General features: G+C 37.8%; 1 long non-coding RNA gene across 1 annotated transcript; it reads left to right on the top strand.

Moving 5' to 3' along the window:
- Nucleotides 1-10228: 10228 nt before the first annotated feature.
- On the top strand, nucleotides 10229-13976 carry LOC105371674 (uncharacterized). The gene is made up of 3 exons (XR_922395.3): nucleotides 10229-10330; nucleotides 11647-11705; nucleotides 13808-13976. It is a non-coding gene; the product is annotated as an uncharacterized LOC105371674 (long non-coding RNA).
- Nucleotides 13977-26313: the final 12337 nt, after the last annotated feature.

The raw sequence follows: 26313 nt of genomic DNA, 5'->3' as shown, positions 1-26313 counted from the left end.
ACATATTAATTTATCTTTATCATTTTTTCCTATAAATTTGCAGAAACATGTCAGTAGCTCTGAAATGAAAAAAATATGCATAGCCTATTAAAAGAGTTACATATGTTTTAATGTTTGTAAGTATAGTGTGAGGTTGTAAAGTGAAGTATATGAAGCATTATACCTTAGAGAGCATTCGTGGGGGTAGTTTGAGAAGTAAAAATATTTTTTAAAGGAAGGTAAATATACTTGTCTAGCAATACACCATATGCCATATTTATAGATTATCTGTTCCATGTAATATTAAAAATGAAATGCTCTAAATTTTCTAGTAAAATCTAGAGAAGAATATTCATGTATTATTTTCATATATTTATCTTTCTTCAGTTTAAGTGTAGAGAAGCAATAACAAATGTTTATAAAGCACTTGCTATTTTTCATTATTAGGTATGAGGGATATGGTAAAAAACCATTATTTTCATATTTAATAATCAAAACCTTTGAAATATTGGATCCAAAATGAATTTTACTGTGGTTGAAAAATATATCCCTGAGTCAGGAACATCTCTGTTTGGTATTTACAGAAAAAGACTACATTCACATGCACATACACACATACACAGAACGGTTATAGTATGTTCCCAATTTAATTAACCAAGGGTATGTAATTTTAGCAATGATAAACTGGCTACAATAAGCAGGAGCAGTTGCATCTATCTCAGCACCACAGAAACCTTGAAAAGGGGTAGGCAGATGCTGGCAACACTGTCCATTCACATGATTATCTTAGCAGGTCTGGAGTTCCAGTTTATGAGGGTACTTCATAAAAATTCTAAACATTTTATATAAATAAACTGTCAGCTCTCATTTAAGCTTTCTTTCTCTTTCTTTCTTTCTTTCTTTCTCTCTTTCTTTCTTTCTTTCCTTCCTTCTATTCTTTCTTTCTTCTCTCCTTCCTTCCTTCTTTCCTTCTTTCTTCTGTTTTCTTTCTTTTTCTTTTGCTTTCTTTTCCTTCCTTCCTTCCCCCCTTCCTTCCTTCCTTCCTTCCTTCCTTCCTTCCTTCCTTCCTTCCTTCCTCCCTCCCTCCCTCCCTCCTTTCCTTCTTTCTTTCCCTGTTTCTTTCTTTTTTTTTTTCTTTAATAATGATTTTTTCTGGTTCTGACTTAAATTCAGCAATGACAAGGCACGTCCTTTTCTGGAGGAGCAGAATAATTGTCCAGATGTCCCCAACTAACATTGTTGTAGTTTGCTGCATGATGATGATTTAATCTTCTTATATGTGGGGATTTCTAATACTGAGTTTAGTACAAATATCACAAGTGATTCTTCTCCCAAAGGCAAATTTTGTTTAAAAAAAATTTGTAGTCTAAGCCTATTAGCATACAACACAAACTCGCTCTTCTCATGTTCTAAGCAATTTTGTCTTTCAGTTTTAAATTACACTAAATTCCAAGTCTCATATACATGTCAATGGAGAGCTATTTATACTAAATAATAATGTTTGCACATGCACAAAAAGGAAGTAAAAGAAATAAAATATTCACGGCCATAAGACCTTGGTGATTTTTTTTCTTCTTGAGCTTAGATAGAGCAGAAAAATTAATTACCTGGCTATCATGTAGCTGCTCCTGCTCTGAATGTTCAGTTTACTGGGAATTTACTGTAGTCTTATAGTGTGTATTTGTATGTGTGTATGTTTGTGTGGATGCATGTGTGGTCTTTTCCTGTGAATTTATAACCAATCTGAAATGTGGCAAACCTTGCGTGAATTATTATGGACCCTTTATTTCTGTTATACAGTTTCTCCATTTTTCTGTGACACAGTGCGTGAAGCAGTATTTCAAAACATCTCACTCTGGTCCTCTTCCACAACAAGGCTTTAGGTATCTTTCAGGTAAGAGCAATGTATTACCTATTACGATGTAGCAAGTCACCTGCAAACTTACAGGCTTAAAACCAAACATATGTATTATCATGCAGAGTTTCTGAGGGTCAGAAATCTAGAAGCAATTTATCTGAGTCTCTCATGAGCGTATAGTCCTCATGAGATTAGCTGAGGTTGCAATTATCTGAAGGTTTGACTGGGGTTGGAAGATCTGCTTCTAAGGTCACTTAGGTGGCTCTCACCAGAAGGCCTCAGTTCTTCAGCACATGGTCCTCTCACAACATGGCATCTGACTTCCCCCAGAGCAAGTGATTCAACAGAGAGAGACAGAGAGAGAGAGAGAGAGAGAGACAGAGAGAGAGAGGCCAAGACAGAAGTTATATGCCTTTAATGTCTTAGTTGTAAAGTCACATAGCATTACTTCTGCATTTTTCTATTTGATAGAAATGAGTCATCAATTCCAGCCCACATGCAAGGAGAAGGTAATTAAGCTTCATCTCTTGAAGGGAGGAGTTAAAAAAAACTTTGGACACGTATAAAGTCAAAAGAATAGTTTCCTATTCATTATTGCATTCCCATAGAGAAACTAATACTCTTCCTATGGTCAATTAATTTTTTTTATCTTAATGCACTTTCATTACATTCATCCAACTAATTCCCAAAAACTGCACCCATATAATAAACATTAGTCAGCCAATATCTTCAGATAATAAATCATTAAAAATTTCCATTTGTATATTTGTCTTTTGATATAAAAAGTAAAATTAATTCAAATTTGGGTCATATAAATTATCATACACTTTAAATTCCATAGAGTCAACAAAAATGCCCACAAAAGTCCAGAGAATTTTTTTTTTTTGAGACGGAGTCTCACACTGTCACCCAAGCTGGAGTGCAGTGGTGCGATCTTGGCTCACTACAACCACCGCCTCCTGGGTTCAAGCAATTCTCCTCCTAAGCCTCCCAAGTAGCTGGGATTACAGGTGCTCACCACCACACTTGGCTAATTTTTTATATTTTTAGTAGAGACAGGGTTTCACTATGTTGACAAGGTTCATCTCAAACTCCTGACCTCGTGATCTGCCTGCCTCGACCTAATACTGCTCTTTTCCAGTGGTCTTAGCAAATGGCACACCAGGAGATTATATCCTGGCTCAGAGGGTCCCATGCCCATGGAGCCTCGCTTACTGCTAGCACAGCAGTCTGAGATTGAACTGCAAGGTGGCAGCAAGGCTGGGGGAGGGGCATCCACCATTGCTGAGGCTTGAGTAGGTAAACAAAGCAGCTGGAAAGCTCGAAATCGTTGGAGCCCACTGCCGCTCAAGGAGGCCTGCCTGCCTCTGTAGACTTCATTTCTGGGGGGCAGGGCATAGCTGAAAAAAAGGCAGCAGAAACTTCTGCAGACTTAAATGTCCCTGTCTGACAGCTTTGAAGAGAGTAGTGGTTCTCCCAGCATGGAGTCTGAGATCTGAGAATGGACAGACTGCCTCCTCAAGTGGGTCCCGGACACCTGCATAGCCTAACTGGGAAACACCTCCCAGTAGGGGCTGACTGACACCTCATACAGCTGGGTGCCCCTCTGATATGAAGCTTCCAGAGGAAGGATCAGGCAGCAACATTTGCCGTTCTGCAATATTTGCTGTTCTGCAGCCTCCGCTGGTGATACCCAGGCAAACAGGGTCTGGAGTGGACCTCCATCAAACTCCAACAGACGTGCAGCTGAGGGTCCTGACTGTTAGAAGGAAAACTAACAAACAGAAAGGACATCCACACCAAAACCTCATCTGTATGTCACCATCATCAAAGACCAAAGGTGGATAAAACCACAAAGATGGGGAGAAACCAGAGCAGAAAAGCTGAAAATTCTAAAAATCAGAGCGCCTCTTCTCCTCCAAAGGAGTGCAGCTCCTCACCAGCAACAGAACAAACCTGGATGGAGAATGACTTTGATGAGTTGAGAGAAGACAGCTTCAGACTATCGGTAATAACAAACTACCCCGAGCTAAAGGAGGATGTTTGAACCCATCGCAAAGAAGTTAAAACCTTGAAAAAAGATTAGACGAATGGCTATCTAGAATAAACAGTGTAGAGAAAACCTTAAATGACCTGATGGAGCTGAAAACCATGGCATGAGAACTATGTGATGCATGCACAAGCCTCAGTAGCTGATTTGATCAAGTGGAAGAAAGGGTATCAGTGATTGAAGATCAGATGAATGAAATGAAGTGAGAAGAGAATATTAGAGAAAAAAGAGTAAAAAGAAACAAACAAAGTCTCCAAAAAATATGGCACAATGTGAAAAGACCAAATCTACGTCTGATTGGTGTACCTGAAAGTGACAGGGAGAATGGAACCCAGTTGGAAAACACACTTCATGATATTATCCAGGAGAACTTCCCCAACCTAACAAGGCAGGCCAACATTCAAATTCAGGAAATATAGAGAATGCCACAAAGATACTCCTCGAGAAGAGCAACTCCAAAACACATAATTGTCAGATTCACCAAATTTAAAATGAAGGAAAAAATGTTAAGGACAGCCAGACAGAAAGGTCAGGTTGCCCACAAAGGGAAGCCCATCAGACTAACAGCAGATCTCTCGGCAGAAACTCTACAAGCCAGAAGAGAGTGGGGGCCAATATTCAACATTTTTAAAGAAAAGAATTTTCAACCCAAAATTTCATATCCGGCCAAACTAAGCTTCATAAGTGAAGGAGAAATAAAATACTTTACAGACAAGCAAATACTGAGAGATTTTGTCACCACCAGGCCTACCTTACAAGAGCTCCTGAAGGAAGCACTACACATGCAAAGGAACAACTGGTACCAGCCACTGCAAAAACATGACAAATTGCAAAGACCATTGATGCTATGAAGAAACTTCATCAATGGTCAGTTTCTTCATCAATGAGCAACATAACCAGCTAACATAATGACAGGATCAAATTCACACATAACAATATTAACCTTAAATGTAAATGGGCTAAATGCTCCAATTAAAAGACACAGACTGGCAAATTGGATAAAGAGTCAAGACCCATCAGTGTGCTGTATTCAGGAGTCCCATCTCACATGCAGAGACACACATAGGCTCAAAATAAAGGGATGGAGGAACATCTACCAAGCAAATAGAAAATAAAAAAAAGCAGGGGTTGCAATATTAGCCTCTGATAAAACATACTTTAAACCAACAAAGGTCAAAAGAGACAAAGGAGGCCATTACATAATGGTAAAGGGATCAATTCAACAAGAAGAGCTAACTATCCTAAATATATAGGCACCCAATACAGGAGCACCCAGATTCATAAAGTAAGCCCTTGGAGACCTACAAAGAGACTTAGACTCCTGCACAATAATAATGGGAGACTTTAACACTCCACTGTCAACATTAGACAGATCAACGAGACAGAAAGTTATCAAGGATTTCTGGGAATTGAACTCAGCTCTGCACCAAGCCGACCTAACAGACATCTACAGAAGTCTGCACCCCAAATCAGCAGAATATACATTCTTCTCAGCACCACATCTCACTTATTCCAAAATTGACCACATAGTGGGAAGTAAAGCACTCCTCAGCAAAAGTAAAAGAACAGAAATGATAACTGTCTCTCAGACCACAGGGCAATCAAACTAGAACTCAGGATTAAGAAACTCACTCAAAACTGCACAACTACATGGAAACTGAACAACCTGCTCCTGAAGGACTACTGGGTACATAATGAAATGAAGGCAGAAATAAAGATGTTCTTTGAAGCCAATGAGAACAAAGACACAACATACCAGAATCTCTGGGACACATTTAAAGTAGTGTGGAGATGGAAATTTACAGCACTAAATTCCCACAAGAGAAAGCAGGAAAGATCCAAAATTGACACCCTAACATCACAATTAAAAGAACTAGAGAAACAAGAGCAAACACATTCAAAAGCTAGCAGAAGGCAAGAAATAACTAAGGTCAGAGCAGAAATGAAGGAGATAGAGACATAAAAAACCCTTCAAAAAGCTCAATGAATCCAGGAGCTGGTTTTTTGAAAGGATCAACAAAATTGATAGACTGCTAGCAAGACTAATAAAGAAGAAAAGAGAGAAGAATCCAATAGACACAATAAAAAATGATAAAGGGGATATCACCACCGATGCCACAGAAATACAAACTACCATCAGAGAATACTATAAACACCTCTATGCAAATAAACTAGAAAATGTAGAAGAAATGGATAAATTCCTCGACACATACACCCTCCCAAGACTAAATCAGGAAGAAGTTGAATCCCTGAATAGACCAATAACAGGCTCTGAAATTGAGGCAATAATTAATAGCCTACCAACCAAAAAAAAAGTCCAGGACCAGATGGATTCAAAGCCAAATTATACCAGAGGTACAAACAGGAACTGGTACCATTCCTTCTGAAACTATTCCAATAAATAGATAAAGAGGAAATACCCCCTAACTCATTTTATGAGGCCAACATCATCCTGATACCAAAGCCTGGCAGAGACACAACCAAAAAAGAGAATTTTAGACTAATATCCCTGATGAATGTTGATGCAAAAATCCTCAATAAAATACTGGCAAACCAAATCCAGCAGCATATAAAAAAGCTTATCCACCACGATCAAGCTGGCTTCATCCCTGGAATGCAAGGCTGGTTCAACATACGCAAATCAATAAATGTAATCCAGCATATAAACAGAATCAAAGACAAAAACCACATGATTATCTCAATAGATGCAGAAAAGGCCTTCGACAAAATTCAACAGCACTTCATGCTAAAAACTCTCAATAAACTAGGTATTGATGGGATGTATCTCAAAATAATAAGAGCTATTTATGACAAACCCACAGCCAATATCATACTGAATGGGCAAAAACTGGAAGTGTTCTCTTTGAAAACTGGCACAAGAGAGGGATGCCCTCTCTCACCACTCCTATTCAATATAGTTTTGGAAGTTCTGTCCAGGGCAATCCATCAAGAGAAAGAAATAAAGGGTATTCAATTAGGAAAAGAGGAAGTCAAATAGTCCCTGTTTGCAGATGACATGATTGTATATTTAGAAAACCCCATCGTCTCGGCCCAAAATCTCTTTAAGCTGATAAGCAACTTCAGCAAAGTCTCAGGATACAAAATCAATGTGCAAAAATCACAAGCATTCCTATACACCAATAACAGACAAACAGAGAGCCAAATCATGAGTGAACTCCCATTCACAATTGCTTCAAAGAGAATAAAATACCTAGGAATCCAACTTACAAGGGATGTGAAAGACCTCTTCAAGGAGAACTGCAAACCAATGCTCAATGAAATAAAAGAGGACACAAACAAACTAAAGAAAATTCCATTTGGGAGGCCGAGGCGGGCGGATCACGAGGTCAGGAGATCGAGACCATCCTGGCTAACACGGTGAAACCCCGTCTCTACTAAAAATACAAAAAATTAGCCGGGCGAGGTGGCGGGCGCCTGTAGTCCCAGCTACTCGGGAGGCTGAGGCAGGAGAATGGCGTGAACCCCAGGGGGCGGAGCCTGCAGTGAGCCGAGATTGCGCCACTGCACTCCAGCCTGGGCGACAGCGAGACTCTGTCTCAAAAAAAAAAAAAAAAAAAAAAAAGAAAATTCCATGCTCATGGGTAGGAAGAATCAATATCATGAAAATGGCCATATTGCCCCAGGTAATTTATAGATTCATTGCCATCCCCATGAATCTACCAATGACTTTCTTCACAGAATTGGAAAAAACTACTTTAAAGTTCATATGGAACCAATAAAAGAGCTTGCATTGCCAAGACAATCCTAAGCCAAAAGAATAAAGCTGGAGGTATCATGCTACTTGACTTCAAACTATACTACAAGGCTACAGTAACCAAAACAGCATGGTACTGGAACCAAAACAGAGACATAAACCAATGGAACAGAACTGAGCCCTCAGAAATAATACCACACATCTACAACCATCTGATCTTTGATAAACCTGACAAAAACAAGCAATGGGGAAAGGATTCCCTATTTAATAAATGGTGCTGGGAAAACTGGCTAGCCATATGTAGAAAGCTGAAACTGGATCCCTTCCTTACACCTTATACAAAAATTAATTTAAGATGGATTAAAGATTTAAATGTTAGACCTAAAACCATAAAAACCCTAGAAGAAAACCTAGGCAATACCATTCAGGACATAGGTATGGGCAAGGACTTCATGACTAAAACACCAAAAGCAATGGCAACAGAAGCCAAAATTGACAAATGGGATCTAATTAAACTAAAGAGCTTCTGCACAGCAAAAGAAACTACCATCAGAGTGAACAGGCAACCTACAGAAAGGGAGAAAATTTTTACAATCTACCCATCTGTCAAAGGGCTGATATCCAGAATCCACAAATAACTTAAACAAATTTACAAGAAAAAAATCAAACAACCCCATCAAAAAGTGGGCAAAGGATATGAACAGACACTTCTCAAAAGAAGACATTTATGCAGCCAAAAGACACATGAAAAAATGCTCATCATCACTGGCCATCAGAGAAATGCAAATCAAAACCACAATGAGATACCATTTCATACCAGTTAGAATGGTGATCATTAAAAAGTCAGGAAACAACAGGTTCTGGAGAGGATGTGGAGAAATAGGAACACTTTACACTGTTGGTGGGACTGTGAACTAGTTCAACCATTGTGGAAGACACTGTGGTGATTCCTCAAGGATCTAGAGCTAGAAATACAATTTGACCCAGCCATCCCATTACTGGGTATATACCAAAAGGATTATAAATCATGCTGTTATAAAGACACATGCACACGTATGTTTATTGTGGCACTATTCACAATAGCAAAGACTTGGAACCAACCCAAATGTCCATCAATGATAGACTGTATTAAGAAAATGTGGCACATATACACCATGGAATACTATGCAGCAATAAAAAATGATGAGTTCATATCCTTTGTAGGGACATGGATGAAGCTGGAAACCATCATTCTCAGCAAACTATCACAAGGACAGAAAACCAAACACCGCATATCTCAGATGATAGGTGGGAGCTGAACAGTGAGAACACTTGGACACAGGGTGGGGAATATCACACACTGGGCCTGTTGTGGGGTGGGGGGAGGGAGGAGGGATAGCATTAGGAGATATACCTAATGTAAATGACGAGTTAACAGGTGCAGCACACCAACATGGCACATGTATACATATGTAACAAACCTGCACATTATGCACATGTACCCTAGAACTTAAAGTATAATAAAAACTAAAATAATAAAATAAAAATAAAAGTAGTAAAAAATTGATATGTTACATTAGAGAAAGTATATATAGCTCCAAGACACTGATCTTTACTACTTAGTAGGAAATTTTTTTTTCTTTTTCTGCTTCTCTAAATCCTCTGATATTACAGGTAAAATAAGGTGAAGTTTGTGTCTGAAAATAATATAACTTAAGTTTCATATAGTTGACACAAATGATGCTGGCAAATAAATGTATCACCAGCAAATTTTTTTTGGATGACATTAGTTCTTATTGATTTAAAACAAGAATGTAATGGCTTAAGGACTGAAAGCAATATATACTTCACGGCACAGTACATACTAACATCATTCATATCAAGAGAAAACAAAATGCCGATACACCACTGTGTTTCTTTAAATGAAGATACAATAGCAATTTCCATGGGGAAAAACCTACTCTTTTCATTCTACCTTTCTATTTCTTTCCAAGTGGTAGAAAATCTAATGTACTATGCCAAAGTCCAGGACTCTGTTTCGTCTATTCTCACTAGTGATAGCAGTTTAAAACATCTAGAATGGCTGGGCACAGTGGTTCATGCCTGTAATCCCAACACTTTGGGAGGCCAAGGTAGGTAGATCAAGAGGTCGGGAGTTTGAGACCAGCTTGCCCAAGATGGTGAAACCCTGTCTTTACTAAAAAATACAAAAATTAGCTGCGTGCGGTGGCAGGCGCCTGTAATCCCAGCTATTGGAGGCTGAGGCAGGAGAATCACTTGATCCCGGGAGGTGGAGTTTGCAATGAGCAGAGATAGCACCACTGCACCCTAGCCTGGGAAAGAGAGCAAGAATCCATCTCAAACCACAACGACAACAAAATCGATCTGGCAGATATGTATCTCTATATTTTTACTTACTTGTCTTTGTGATTGTGAAACAATAACATGATTTAAGCTCATCTTGCAGTCCATTCTTTTTCTCTGATCAATTAGTGGAATCTCGAAACTGAATCGTAGCCGTAATCCCTGACTTACTTGTTCTCCCTCTTAGATTTTATCTTTTCATGTTTGTAGAAATATGAGAGTAAGAATTTGATGATTGTTCTATCTTCTCTCTGTTCTCTTTTTTTGCACATTACACCAGGATAGTTCTAATACTGGAGCTGGAGGCAGGCAGCTCTGCTGAGCTTGACAATAGGCATCAGGAAAAACTGTGAACTGAGAAGCATGCTTCAGATTCAAGGTTCTGGTAATTATGTATTAAATATCTCACAATTTAACAGTGTCATGTAGGAAAATTCTTAGGAATTTGAGCCAATACATGGAAAGAGTCTACTGCTTGAGGAGAAAAGTGTTAGTATTATGCAGAAAAATAGTCTTTAATTGTTAGATGAGAACTCATAAAAGATTATAAATCATTAACACTTTGTGTCTTCAGCTTTTGAATTATTGGTATTATTATTGTTATTAAGTTCAAGTATTTGTCTTTAGTAGGCAGACCTAAACTCTGTTATCATGTTTTGGACTTCATGCAGTAATAAAGGGTAAGCAATGAAAAAATTAACTTGGAGATTCCTATAGGTTTTCCACCAACTCTTTCACACTGTCCCTACCATGTGCTTTTAAATTGATTCTCATTTGTTTAGTTGATAAGCTCAGCCAAAGCTGTAGATGTCATAGGTACAGATCATGGCCTATTCACCTTCCAGGTAATGTAATCAATAATGGATGAAGAACAATAAGGCCCTTTATTATATATAAACATGTCATCTTCTGGGCTGGGGAAAAAAACACAAAGGAGTTGTTAAAAACCCAAGAATTCTTGGCATACTCTAGCCATCAGATTTTATTAAAAGCTATGAGAAAACTGTAGTGAAGGGGCTAGACCTCTTCTAAATGGAATATATTAGCAGAAATATATTAATGAAAATTAGAAAAAGAATATATGAAATTTATAAAATACAGATACTAATCTTGCAGTTAATAAGTAGAACGGTGGAAATGCATAACCAATGTAAAAACTAGTTTTGACCCTACAGAAATGCAGGATTATTTATTTCTTTATTTTACCTTGTCCACAGGTACTGCATAAAAGTAGTTAGGATCTTTTTTTTTTGTCTTTTTGAGACAAAATGAAACATTAGAGGAATTTACCAAGGAGACATGTAAAGACAACATGGAAAAGAAAGCATATGCTGTAACTGAAATAGTTATTCAGGGATTGGAAAGTGAATGTACTAAAGGAAGGAAAGCTAATAGGTTTATATTACTGAAGAAATATTGATCCTTGCTATCATCCTAAGTATACCAACAATGGTATCAATTACCAGAAGTTTATCTTCAGGAATCTATTGAGTGTGATCCTTCAGCTAGGGCAAACTTAGGAAAGAGGTAGATATGTGCCATGTATGTGAGAATTTCTAGAACAACTACAGCTCTAGATAGCCTGAGAATTCTAAATACAGGGATTTAAGTGGAAAATTGGGATTGTGGGTAACGCAAAGTCAATAACCTTTCTTGGAGACTGGCTTCCAACAAATGTGGTATTTCTCCTTTTCTCCGAAGGGAAGTCGAGATTACATCCCTAAAGATGATCCACACTCAACTTTGCACTGGAATATCTGGTAAGAAAGATTCAAAAAAGAAGTGAAACTAAGACGTTTTAAATATATTGGGTAGATACTAAAAAAAGAAGTAGGAACTTTGAGGAAATATATTATAAAACTATTTTTTCCATAAGAAAGAGTATTTCAAATAGTCTCTACTAAAAATAACGTATGGCCATATGCAGTGGCTCACTCCTGTAATCCCAGCACTTTGGGTGACCGAGGCGGGTGGATCACTTGAGGTCAGGAGCTCGAGACCAGCCTGGCCAACATGGTGAAACCCCATCTCTACTAAAAATACAAAAATATTAGCCAGGTGTTGTGGCAGGCGCCTATACTCCCAGCTACTCCAGAGGCTGAGTGAAGCAGGGGAATCACTTGAACCCTGGAGGCGGAGTTTGCAGCGAGCCGAGGTCGCGCCACTGCACTCCGGCCTAGGTGACAAGAGCAAAACACCGTCTCAAAAAAAAAAAAAAAAGGCATGTATGAGTGAGTTTCTCCCAAATATATAAACATCATAAAACCATAACTGACATTTTGATGGAAAATTTCTTCCACTCGAGTCATATTCACTTGTAGTAAATCTTGATAGTGAGCTTGCACTAGCTTTCATTCCAGTGAAGCTGAAACCAGGATTTTTGTCTACACTGTGTCTTCTCCCCATGGTAGAGAGGATAGTGTGGATTCTTAGGTATGCTTCATGACTGACAATAGCAAAGTGAGGCATTCCTTCTGTTTAATGTATGTTAATTTAGTTATAATGTTGATTATATATTAGATAGATGTAGAACTAGCTTGTGTTACTTTCATGTGTACCATTGCTTCTTCCAAGGAATGTTTGAACAGTTTCTATCTTTGGAAGTTGCTGAAAGAGCTATATCAGCTTCAGCGGTGGAAAGCACAGGCTCTAGGCATTGAAGAAATAACATAGTACATCTAAGCACTTCATTGTATCCCATCTTTATGGATAAAAGGAATAAAAACAACTTTGGGAAGAGATTCTAATATTTGAATAAGTGTTTTAATGTGGGGATGGTTTTTTCAGTATTAAAATTTTTGATTATTTACAATTTATTTTGAAAAACCAAATGAAAGAATTATTGAGCAACAAGGCATTTAATTAAAAATGTGGTGAAGAGAGAAAAAAATTCATATTGTGACTTAAAACTAGCCCATTTTCTTTCCAAATAAAAGGCAATAGCTATCTTACGGACAATATTCCTATATATTGCTATCTTATGGACAATATTCCAAGACACAAATGAGTCCCAGTTACTGATCCATCATTAACCTTCCCCTTTCAAGGTCTCTGAAAACAAGAGATGTATTCAGATAGTCAATATCTGCTCCTGATTTGTGTGGCCAGCTTTCCACTGCTAGGTTTATACATCCTTGCTAACTAAATTGGGAACTTACTGTAGCTTACAGAGAGGGTATATGTGAATTTGTGCACACATGTGTGTTTGTGTGTGTATGTGTATGTGTGTTCTTTTCCTGCAAACAAATAACTTATCTGAAATGTTGCAGCCCCTATATAACTTACTAGTGGACCCATTGTTCCTATTAAACAATTTCCCCATATATCTGTTACACAAATAAGCAGGAAGGAGATGATGAAGAGTTTCAATTTTTTTCTAAATGTAGGTGATTAGAATTCACTGATGTGTTTTCAGTAGAAGACGGATACGATCATCTGATTTCTACTTTTGTAAGGTTACTTTAGATATTGAGTAGAGAATAGACTGGAGGGAGGCAAGTGTTAAAAAGGCTGGAGGGATGCAAGTGTTAAAGTTAGAAGGTTATTGAAATTTTTATAAATAATTTTACTTTTTTTAGATACTTTAAACTTACAAGAATACAGAAGTCATGTTATGTGGCCAAAGAAATCTCTAGTTACTAAGAAGCTGGCTGATATACCAAAATGATATATTTGCTTTCATAAAATTAATCTCAAAAACTAGAAATGCTCCTTGATTCCTTTAACATGCACTTGTAGTTATAATTGCACTGAATTTATCTAAACACTTTTGGAAAACTATTTATGTTTTCATACAACTCTATAGCTAAGTAATTACACAATTCTATATATTTCAACTTATTTTTTAATGTACCTTTTCCAGGAGTGATGCCAACAAGATGATGGAGTAGAAGACAGAGCCTTCATTCTGTCCCCCTGCAAAGTAACAATTAATTAGACAGATATCAATGAATGAAATACTAAGAGGGCAAAATAATCCAATTAAAAACCTTCAGCATCACCATGGAACAAGGAAACATGGACAAAATCTGTACACAAAGGAACACTGAGAAGATCAGCATACTTGAGACTCCTGGAGATGACGAGGAACCTCCTAATGGCTAGTTTTTCAACCCACAACCAGTGTCCCTCACATGGGAAGCTTGTTTATACTAGAAGACTCCCTTGTATCTGATTTCTGACCAATTACAACTGTGTGACCATTGCTGTATGCCGCAGCTGGGAGCTTGAACAACAACAACAACAAAAATGGCATGGATATCAGTACCAGCCACATGGTGAGTGCCAACATGGTTCCCAGTGGCCTTCTCTGCAGAGCACCTTGGCAGACTTTGCCACTGAGGGTTACAACAGCCCATATGGCATCTGCCGATTCACCATAGCCTTCACAGCAAAGGTGCCATTAGTGTTTATTGGCATGGACCCCAGCAGCCGGCTCTGCAGAGGATACTGGCAGTTTTTGCCACTGAGCTAACCAACAGCCATCATAGAAACAAACCTCCTTGGAGAGGGAGATGCTGCTGGTATCCCTACCCATAAGAAGAAGCTACTGTTGTGCCACTCAGAGATCAGTGTTATTAAAGCCCCAGCTACATTGGGGTTCCAGTACTAAAGAGGCTAATAACCCTGTTCTAATGGGAAATAAAGGGAAGCTGGATATGGGTGTTTTATGGTGTGATTTTCACATGACACTACTTTTACCTGGCAGACAGCCTAATGGCTAGTTGTCCCACCCACAGATAGGGGTCTCTCACATGTGAAACTTGTTTATACTGGAAGACTTCCTTGAGTCTGTTTCCTGACCAGTTATGACTGTCTGACCATTGCTCTATGCTGCAGCTGGGAGCTTGATCTCATGTTCTCCCTGGCATCCCAGGGAAAGTGGGGCCTGAGGAAGCCTCTAATTCTTCAGATGGAAGGTGCAAATTCTGTAACTACCAGAACAGAAAATAAATCCAAAGATTTTTACTTACAGATTCTAGGCAAGGAAAGTGTAATGAGTTCAAGAGGGCAATCATTCATCCTCGGATCTTGTGTGTCATCAAGGAAGAGTTTGGCAGAGAAAGGGAGATGCATGTGGCAACTAGCAGTACAAATAAAGAAACAGGATGTGAGTCACTTTAAGTTAAAAGGCAAATAGCTGAATGGTTCATTTAAAGGATAGCAGTGGGAAAGCAAGGAGCCCAATCTGCTAGGCAGGAGAGATGACTCTAACTTCTTATCTCTGGCAACTGACTTGAGTCATTTGGGTGAGATGTAGAACTGGACTCTTGTAAATGGTGCCAGAACTCTACTTCTGGTATGAGAAAGTTAAACTTGTAGTCAAAATGGATACTTAGGCAATAAAGAGTTATAAAAATTTATTGCCACTGGGATCACCACTCTCCCCAATCCTGTGTAGTCCCTGAACCTTAGAGCCACTCTGCTCCATACTGCCCTGCACTCCAGATCCTAATTACACAGCACTTTGTGATCACCTGCACCTTGGTAATTGGAGCCACCCCTACAACAAGCTAGCCTCCATCCAGATTCCAGGGGTGCTGTAGCTTGGTGTGTACTTGAGCTCTGCACTCCAGCTCCATGGCCACACCACAGGCATCATGCATCGAACATGCATACTATCACCAAGAGCATGTACATGACCTGGACCTGATGCCAAGGGAGATTCTCTCTCCCATAAGAAAAGAAAAAAAAAATAGAACAGGAGGACACCAGCAGGCTTCACCAAAAAAACCTCAATAGCCTTTACTATGTTTATAGACATCCATAACGCTAGCTGCTGAGGGCCCCTGCAATCTTAACTAATGCTGGCCTCAGCTGACAGAGCTTCATAGAGGCAGTGCTCTCACCAGAGCTGGAACCATCTCACCCTACACAGCCAGAGAGAGCCCTTACATTCACACATAGGTGAAGGTCTTTCTCCACTAAAACTAGTTGATAAAGTCCAGAAGAGGTGATTGTCCATTACATAGACATTAATTTAAGGCAACAGGAAACACACACACACACACACACACACATACGCACTCCACCACCAACAGGTACACCAACAACAAGAAAAAAATGACAATACCAAATAATAAGGAAGAAAATAAATTTCTAGTAACTGACTCCAAAGAAATAGAAATTTTCCGACAAACAAAATCAAAATAATTGTTGTTGAAAAGCTCAGTTGAACTACAAAAGAATATAGGTTTAAAAGATCAAAAATATCAGAAAACAATATGAAGAGAGACCCCTTGGTATCAATGGGAAACTGGTTCCAGGACTCCTTGTGGATGCAAAAATCTGTGCATACTCATGTTCTGCAATTTGTCCTGTGAAACTCAGGAATATGAAAAGTCAGCACTCCATACACATCGGTTTTGCATCCCACAAATGCTGTATTTTTAATTCACTATTTGTTGTGGAGTCAGAATCCATGGATAGGAAGAGTCCTCTGTATTTATTTTAAATCTGTGTATAAGTGGACCTATACAGTTCAAACTTGTGTTGTTCAAGAGTCAACTGTATAAGGAAAATAAGAAGTTCAATGAAGAAATAAAAAATTTTAAAAAGAAAACAAACTCTGAAGCTGAAGAAGACAATGAGCTAAATAAAAAAATACTATCTATTTATCTATCTATCTATCTATCTATCTATCTATCTATATATATATATATGTAAAATCTGCAGCAAATGTGAGAAGGAATATGTGAACTTGAAAACAAGTCATTAGAAAATATCTAGTAAGAGGAGAGAAAAAAATGAAGAAAGTCTATGGGATATATGGGACACTGTCAAGAGAACTAATTTTCACATAATAGATCTGTAGAAGGAAAAAAGAAAAAGGAGCAGAAAACTTACTTAAAGAAATAATGGATAAATCTCCCCAATTATGGGGATACATACAGACACCCAGGTACATGATCCTAAAAAGTCTCCAATAATGTTGAATCCAAAAAAGAGTTCATCAACAGCTGTCGACATCAAATTGCCAGAAATCAAAGACAAAGAAAAAAAATAGTGAAAGCAGCATGAGAAAAGAGATTCCTCACAGAAAAGGGGACCTCCAAGAGACTGTCAACTGATTTTATGGAAAAAAAATATGGTAGGTCAGGAAAGAATAGGATGGTATATTCAAAGAAGAAGAAGTAGAAGAGAAGAAGAAGTAGAAGAGGAAGAGGAGGAGGATGAGGAGTAAGGGGAAGGGGAAGAGGAAGGGGAAGAAGACTAGCAAGCGAAAATACTTTATCTGGCAAATCTGTCCTTCAGAACTGAAGATAAAAATTTCCCAGGCAAACAAAAGTTGAGGAAGTTCATCACCACTGCACCTCCTTACAAGACATGCTAAAGGGGGCGCTTCAAGCTGAAGCAAAAGGATGCAATTACTAACATGAAAACATATGAGAAAATAAAGCTCACTGGTAAAGCAAATATATAGTCAAATACTGAACACTCTGATACTGTAATGGCAGTGTGTAAATCACTTTTAACTGTAATTAAAAGTTAAAAGACAAAATATTAAAAATAACTGTTAGTGAATATACAATATAAAAATGTAAATTGTGACATTAAAAACATAAAATATGAGGGAAATAGAATAAAAGTGCATAACTTTCTATGTGATTAAAATTATATTGTTAGCTTAAAATAGACTAACTACAGGAGGCTTTATTACCTTATGGTAATCACAAAGCAAAAGCTTATAGTAGATACACATAAGATAATGGGACAGGAATCAAAACATGCTGCTACAGAAAATCATCAAATCACAAAGGAAGACAGCAAGAGATGAAGAGCACAAAACAGCCAGAAATCAATTAATAAAATGGCAAAAGTAAGTGCTTGCCTATCAATAATTACCTTGAATGTGAATAGATTAAGCCTCTTAGCAAAATACATAGAGTGGCTCAACCCATAAAAAGCAAGGTCCAATTATATCCTTCTGCATTAGTTTGCTTTGGTTGCCATAACAAAATACCACAGATAGCGTGGCATAAACAGAAATTTGTGTCTTACAGTTCTGCGGGCTTGGAAGTACAAGATTAATGTTCTGAGTGATTCAATTTCTCGTGAGAACTTGCCCTTTCTCTCTACTATGTGAGAATACAAGTCTGGCTGCCTTCTCCCTGTATCTTCATATGGTAGAGAGAAAGCAAGCTCTTCTGCTCTTAAAAGGGTGCTAATCTCATCATGAGGTCCTTACCCTTATTGCCTCATCTAACTCTAATTATATCCCAAAGCCTCTACCTCAGATACTGTCTCATTGGAAATTAGGATTGCAATGTATAAACTTTGGGGAGACACAAATATTCAGTACTTAACAACTGCCATCTCTGGACTTCTCCAAAATTTATTGTATCTTTCTTCATATGTGGCCTCCAGAGCTGCCCATGTGATTATTAACACATCATTTATAAATGGGTAGAGCAATGCTGCCCATCTTGTTTCACACACCTGTACAATGTCATTTGTTACTTATTGACCGAAATTATCAGTCATATAACAAGGCATAGATTAGGGTTTAGTTGTTTTCACTGGGACAAATCTCAGGGGAAAAAAAGCGTCTTTTCAGAAATTTTCTTTTTCTTTATTATTATTATTATTATATTTAATAAAGTTTTAGGGTACATGTGCACAACGTGCAGGTTAGTTACATATGTATACATGCGCCATGCTGGTGCACTGCACCCACTAACTCGTCATCTAGCATTAGGTATATCTGCCAATGCTATCCCTCCCCGCTCCCCCCACCCCACCACAGTCCCCAGAGTGTGATGTTCCCCTTCCTGTGTCCATGTGTTCTCATTGTTCAATTCCCACCTATGAGTGAGAATATGCGGTGTTTGGTTTTTTGTTCTTGCGATAGTTTACTGAGAACGATGATTTCCAATTTCATCCATGTCCCTACAAAGGACATGAACTCATCATTTTTTATGGCTGCATAGTATTCCATGGTGTATATGTGACACATTTTCTTAATCCAGTCTATCATTGTTGGATATTTGGGTTGATTCCAAGTCTTTGCTATTGTGAATAATGCCACAATAAACATACGTGTGCATGTGTCTTTATAGCAGCATGATTTATAGTCCTTTGGGTATATACCCAGAAATTTCTAAATACTGTAAACTCATATCACAGTCATTAAGTCTAACATGCAAAGACACTAGAAGAACACAAAGTTCAGATTTTTAAAATATTGAGATTTCAGTGGTCAATTGTGAGACTTCAAAGAGACGGCAGTCAAAACTTCATGACTTTATAATATGATTATTTCTTCATTAATAAGCACCAAAAGTCAATTTTCTCTAAATTTAAAATCTGGCTACTCTTTAGTATTGTATATTGAAGAGCAAAACATCCCTTGTCTTGTGCCGTGAATATGATAAATGTTATGTTATAAGATTTTTATGGTCAGGCGCAGTGGCTCATGCCTGTAATCCCAGCACTTTGTGAGGCCAAGGCTGGTGGATCACTTGAAACCAAGAGTTCAAGACAAGCCTGCCCAACGTGGTAAAATCCCATCTCTACTAAAAATGTAAAAATTAGCCAGACCTGGTGGCATGTGCCAGTAGTCCCAGCTACTTGGGAGGCTGAGGCATGAGAATTGCTTGAACCCGTGAGGTCTCGCCACTGCACTCCAGCCTGGGGGACGGACAGAGATCTTGTCTCAAAAAAAAAAAAAAAAAAAAGAAAGAGAAAGAAAGAAAGCAAGAAAACAAGAAAGAAGGAAAGAAAAATTTTTGTGGTTATGCATTATTTATTATAACAATCAATTTAAGAATTTTAAATAACATTTATCAAAGCTGAAAGTTTACATAAACAGTATTTGTATGAATGTATGATGCCCCCTGTAAATTTCCTAATCCTAGCAGCTATCAGTTTGGTGTGTAGAGCTTTCTGGATGACGTCACATGTATTGTTAGCTCATTCCCTGACCCCGTGTGAGTTATCTGTATCATAGTAGTTAGTCTGATTACTCGTTTACTCTTTTTTTTTTTTTTTTTTTTTTTTGAGACGGAGTCTCACACTGTCACTGTCACCCAGGCTGGAGTGCAGTGGCGCTATCTCTGCTCACTGCAAGCTCCGCCTCCCAGGTTCATGCCATTCTCCTGCCTCAGCCTCCCGAGTAGCTGGGACTACAGGCATGAGCCACCACGCCCGGCTAATTTTTTATATTTTTGGTAGAGACGGGGTTTCACCATATTACCTAGGATGGTCTCGATCTCCTGAACTCATGATCTGCTCGCCTCGGCCTCCCAAAGTGCTGGGATTACAAGCGTGAGCCACCTCACCTGGCCTACTCATTTACTCTCATCTTTCATCGTGGAAATCTAAATAAAGACCAAAATACTTGTAATTTTAAACATTGAAACAAATGTGAGCTATACATTCATTAAAGAAATGTTAATAAAACAAGTAAGAATACTTACCCAATTTTTGGTGAGTCAGTGAGTGACAGTGGTCATAACGATGGTGGGTTAAGTAAAGAAATAAATGTTTGCAAAGTGAAAATTGTAAAGAGCACCTCCTACCACCACAGAGTTTAAAAAAAGACAATGAAACATATGGTGGGCTCACTGAGCACTTTCCTACAGAATTGTTCATTGTTGTGCATCTGTATGATTACTGTATACCTTATGAATTTTTATTTTACAATTATTTATATTCATTCATTTATTTATTTTCCAACTCATTTATTCCAGTTCAGGGTCATGGATGGTCAGAGCCTATCCCAGCAGTTCAGGGCCCAAGGTGAGAACCAACTCTGGACAGAATGCCATCCATTGAGGGACATATTCACACATATATCTATACTCACTTAGACTGAGACTATTTAGACACACAAATTCACCTAATGTGCACATCTGTGGGAAGTGAGATAAACCTGGAATACTGGGAGAAAACCCGTACAGATGTAGGAAGAACATTCACATTCAACACAACAGTGGCCCTCAGGTGGTAATCAATTTTTTCTCATTTACATAATAAAATGACATTGAATGAAATGGCATTATTTAAGGACCTGCTGTATCCTACTCTCCTTGGTTAATTTCCTTAGAATTACTACTACACATGTTCCCCAGGTTTCTAATATATATTAGCTAATATATATTGCTAATATATATTAGCAAAATCCTGCAATTCTTCTTGTTTCTAAGCTCCTTTCTTCAGAAGTCTAGTGTAAAAAGTTCACCCTTGAACAATTCAGGGTTAGGGATCTTTACCCAGCTCCTTTCACCCTCCCTTAGTTGAAAATCCACTTATAACTTTTGACTCTTCCAAAATTTAACTACTAGTAGCCTACTGTTGATCAGAAGCCTTGCTGATAACATAAACAGTCGCTTAACACATATTTTATATGTTACATGTGTTATTATACTGTATTCTTACAATAAAGTAAGCTAGAGAAAAGGAAATTATATTAAGAAAATTATAAGAAAGAGAAAATATATTAACTGTTCATTAAGTGGAAGTGGATCATCATAAAGGTCTTCATCCTCATAGTTTTCACATTGAGTAGGCTGAGGAGGAGAAGGAAGAGAGGGCTCAGGAGTAGAGAGACAGAAGAGATGGAGGAGGTGTAAATATGAGCAGGAGAGGCAGGCACACTTGGTATGACTTTATAGAAGTACATGGTAATTTCTGTCTGACATTTTTTGGTTTTTCATTTCTCTAGCAATCTTTCTATACAGTACCAATCCTTCCACCATTTGCTTTAGTTTCAGTGCCCATATCACAGATGGGTCCATGTCATAAAAGAAGTCAAAAGCAATCTTTAATACTTCGAATCCTTCTGCCAGATTGTCTGGCAATTGATTTTCTAGCACTGCTTCTTCTGTCTCTTTTTTCTGATCATCTGGCACTGGCTCAGATGCACCCATCTTCATCAAGTTGTCTTCTGTTAATTCTGCCACTCTGGTCTCTATTAACTCTCTACTTTCTCCAAGATTTGTATCTTAAAACCCTTCACCCCTGATCTTTTTTTTTTTTTTTTTTTTTTTTTGCCATATCCACAGTGTCTTTTATACTATCCTTAATTGGCTTTGTCATAAATACGGGAAGCCATGCACAGCATTTGAACACAGTTTACTCCAGCAGGAATGTATTGTTTTGGGCTTGATGGCATTTGTGGCATTCTCTATAACAATGACATTTTCAATGGTGTAACCGTTCCATTCCCTCTATCGGAATTATGTTCCATAGCATTGACAATCTTTTTCATAGAGTACTGTGTGTAGTGAGCCTTAAAAATCCTTATGACTCCCTGATCTAGAGGTTCAATTAGAGATACTGTGTTTGGGGGCAAGTAAACCACTTTGATTCCTTTAGTGTTGAATTCCTGGGATTCTGGGTGGTCAGGGGCATTTTTCAATATGAAAATAACTTTAAAATTAGTCCCTCACTGGCAAGATACATCTTGTCTTCAGGGGCTAAGCATCAACAGAATCAATGCCAAAAAGGGTTCTTGTTTTTCAGACATTCTTATTGCAGAACCAAAAGATTGACAACTGATGTTTATCTTTTCCCTTTGGGGCTTGGGGGGATGGGGGCAGTCCTGATCATAAACCTGAGGGCTTGTAGCAATCCTGCAATCAAATAAAAGCTGAGTTTTCATTAGGAAAAATACCTAATGTAGATGATAGGTTGATGGGTGCAGCAAACCACCATGACACGTGTACACCTCTGTAACAAGCCTGCACGTTCTGCACACGTATCCCAGAACTTAAAGTATAATAATAATAATAAAAAGAAATTTCTACTACATAGTTTCTTTTGCTACATTTCCCCAACTGACCAAGGTTTTATTCTATTTACAAATTTCTAACTCCTGGAACAAGTAGAAATCTAAACAAGAATAGCAATTCTGACTAAAGGAGAGTATTCTAACTCCTAAAACATCTCAAGATTCATTTTGTTTGTTATAAATCCAGCTACTCTAGCTTTCTTTGGCTAATACTTAAATTAAACCTTATATTTAGTGGTATTTATGGTAAAAAGCATATACTTAATTTTCTTCTGTTATTCATTATAATCCCTAAGTTTAACCCATGTATTTTCTCCATTTGCATTTATTGTGATTACTAATATACCTAAATTTATTTTTACTATATTATTTAATGCTATTAACCTTGTTTTTTCTATGACTTTTTATTTCCTCCTTTCTGGCATTTATTGCTTGCTTATACTATCTTGAAAACTATATACAATATTTCTATCCTTTTAAGTGATGACTTTAAAAGTCAATATGCATATCTGACTTATTCCCTCACAAAAAAAGCTGCATTTTCAATACGAGATAAGAGGATATTTTGCAAAAAGTGTAAGGACTTTGTTCCTGCTGGAGTAGCTGCAGTGATGGCTTTGTGAATTCCCTTTTCTTCTTTTACAATGGTCCTTAGGCTGGATTCATTTATCTTGAAATGGCGGGAAACTGCAGCTGTAGACCTCAATCTGTAGTACATATCAAGCATTTCAACTTTTTTCTTCTAATGTCATGACTTTTCTCTGCTTCTTGGGAGCACTTCCAGCATCACAAGTGGCATTTCATATGGGTCTCATGGTGTCACTCAAGGTTTACAGTATTATAGTAAGCATGATGAAAAATGCACAAGAACAAGGAAAGATTACTTTTTACCGAGATACACAATTTACTTGGAGAGGCAAACTACTCATGAGGAGTTGATCATTGTCACATGACACTTTAAGCCTGTACCCACAACATTTGAGCCCACCACAATAGCAATAGGAGTTGGCTATGAAATTACTACAGATGTAGTTATGATTGAATACTGCATCTTTAGGTTTCTCTCAGTTGTAAATGGCGCCATGTATGGTCTGTATATTTTAGTGTAAGTTTTGATAAATTTCAACTTTTTATAATAGACTTGTGTATATTTTATGGTAGTAAATGACAAAATAAACTAGCATCTACATATATTTTTATTTATGCCATACCTAAGTTTTTCTGAATTGTTTTTGATATTTATAGGTTATACAGTTCATCTATGAGTATTTTCAAATTGTTGCAAATCTCTAAAAATGTTTCCAAGATATTTATTGAAAAAAATTCTCATATGAGTGGACTCACAGTTCAAACTCATGTTGTTCAAGGGTCAACTGTACTTATCTCCTTGGAGCATGCTGAGATTTGACATTAGTCAAGTCAAGAGGAAACAGGGAGTAACTCTGATGGTCTTGAAGAAATTGAGTGTCCCCTTTTGTATTAGCATTCTTCAGAGAAATGGAACCAATAGAAGATATATATAAATATCAATAACTATGCCTATATCTATACCTTTCTGTAGAAAGAGTACAAAATCTCCAGATTGGGTGGGCAGGCTGGAGATCCAGGAAGAAGTGCACATGCAGTTTAAGTCCAATGGCTGTGTGCTGCAGAATTACCTTATGTTCAGGGGAGATCAGTCTTTTGTTCAATCTTTGAACTGATTGGATTAGGCCTACCCACACTATGAAGAGCAATCTGCTTTACTGAGAATCCACTAAAATACAAATCTTATCTAAAAATACCCTTCAAGTTGACACAAAAACTAGCCATCATACCTTTCTAGATATCTGCTAATCAGAGAATTTTAAAAGTCTATGATTTGAAGGAAGAGCAGGATCCTGAGACTCACGACAGCATGCTACTTCCACTAGTAAGGGGGAATCAGAGTGATTTTAGTACAAAATCGTCAGTTTCATCTAGATTAAATGAGATTTCCCCATTACATGTTTCAGGATTCATCTTTTTCCAACTAATGACCAATGTTCCCAAGTGAGACTCACTGAGACTAAGACTTCACCTGTTGCTGTAGTTTAGCCAGGCAGAACTAAATTTTACGTTTGATTCTCAGCAACATTAGCCAAATAGCTACAAAAACTAAGCTATTCTCTTAAGCCTGCACAGAAGCTCTCTAGTTCTCACAACATGGCTTGAGCTGGTTCTGAAAAATTCTGAGCTTGTCATTTTTATTCCGTAAGCTTAAAATGGGCTCAAAATCTCATTTGCATCATAGTCATCATTACTGTGATGAACCTTAATTACAGTAACCATTCCAGCTCCCAAAGCAGTGTGCTTTAGTTTACTCTATCACACTCAATCCAGATAATAGTTTGATTAATTATGATGATACTGCATACCATAGATTACAAGCATCTCATTTCAACTTGGCAAGAAAGTCAAGTTTAAGAGCAGGATTAAACCAACAGCAAAATCCAATCCTGGCAATTGTAGTTGTGGGAACACCTTCCACTACCAATTCTGGGTATCAGCATCAGTCTGGGTCCAACCATGGGAGAGAAACCATACCATAGTGTGAACAGAAAATTTTAGTATGAAAATTATTTAATAATAACAGAAATTGGAGAATACAAGATTTATTTCTTTAATAAGATATAAAAAGAACTGTTAAGAATATAGACTCATAGGTATAAGTAGCTATTACTTGTAGGGTTAAGATAAGGGATCTAATGGAGAGATCCTCCCCAAAAGGTAGTTAGAGCCTTGTTGGGGAGTGAAGCAACGTGGCTTCCTACATGGCAGAAAAGTTGCTGTGGTGCCTGGAATGTCAGAAGTTGCTGTAAATCTGCTCTCTGGGGTACCTGGGGAAGCTAACTACAGAGAGATGCTGTGCTTTGCAACTTGCTGCAAAGTCAAATGTGAGAAGCCTCAGAAGCTGTTCATATGAGATACTTTGCTGATGGAACTCTTCTATAAAGTTTCCCAAGGTGGGTGTCTGAGGAAGCTACTGGGTGCTGAAGAAGCCTGTTCCTGGAGGAGCTGTTCACTGCAGAAGCAGAAAACTGGGGAAGCCACACACTGGGGCATCCACAGTTAGAGAAACTGTATGCTAAAGCAGCCTAGTAAGGGGAGCACAACAGAACCCGGAAAAAAGATAATCAAACTGAAGCAAACCAAATTCTTCCGCCTCTGGTGTTGCTGTAGTAGAACTCTCTACTGACAAAAATAAACCTCACGTTGCCAGCTGGCAACAGTGTTTAAAGGGCCCAACTCAGGTCCATTTTCACAGAACAAGCCAAGATAACTATTGGATAGCAAAGGAAGAGTTGATTGTTTCGTTTGTTGTGCAGAAGCTCTATGTTTGATGTAGTCTTGTCTGTTTTTGCTTTTGTGGCTTATGCTTTTCATGTCACAGCCAAGAAATTATTGCTTAAACTAATGTCATGAAGGTTTTCCTCTATGTTTACTTTTAGGGGTTTTATAGACTTAAGTCTTGGGTTTAATTCTTTAATTCATTTTTGAGTTGATTTGAGTGTATGGTGTAATACAAAGGCCTAATTTCATTCTTTTGTATTTGGGTATCTTGTTTTCCTATCACTCTTTGTGAAAGACTATCCTTTCCCTATTGTGTATTCTTG

Source organism: Homo sapiens, chromosome 1, assembly GCF_000001405.40.
Source record: "Homo sapiens chromosome 1, GRCh38.p14 Primary Assembly".
NCBI lineage: Eukaryota > Metazoa > Chordata > Mammalia > Primates > Hominidae > Homo > Homo sapiens.
This window is presented reverse-complemented; position numbering and strand designations above follow the sequence as displayed.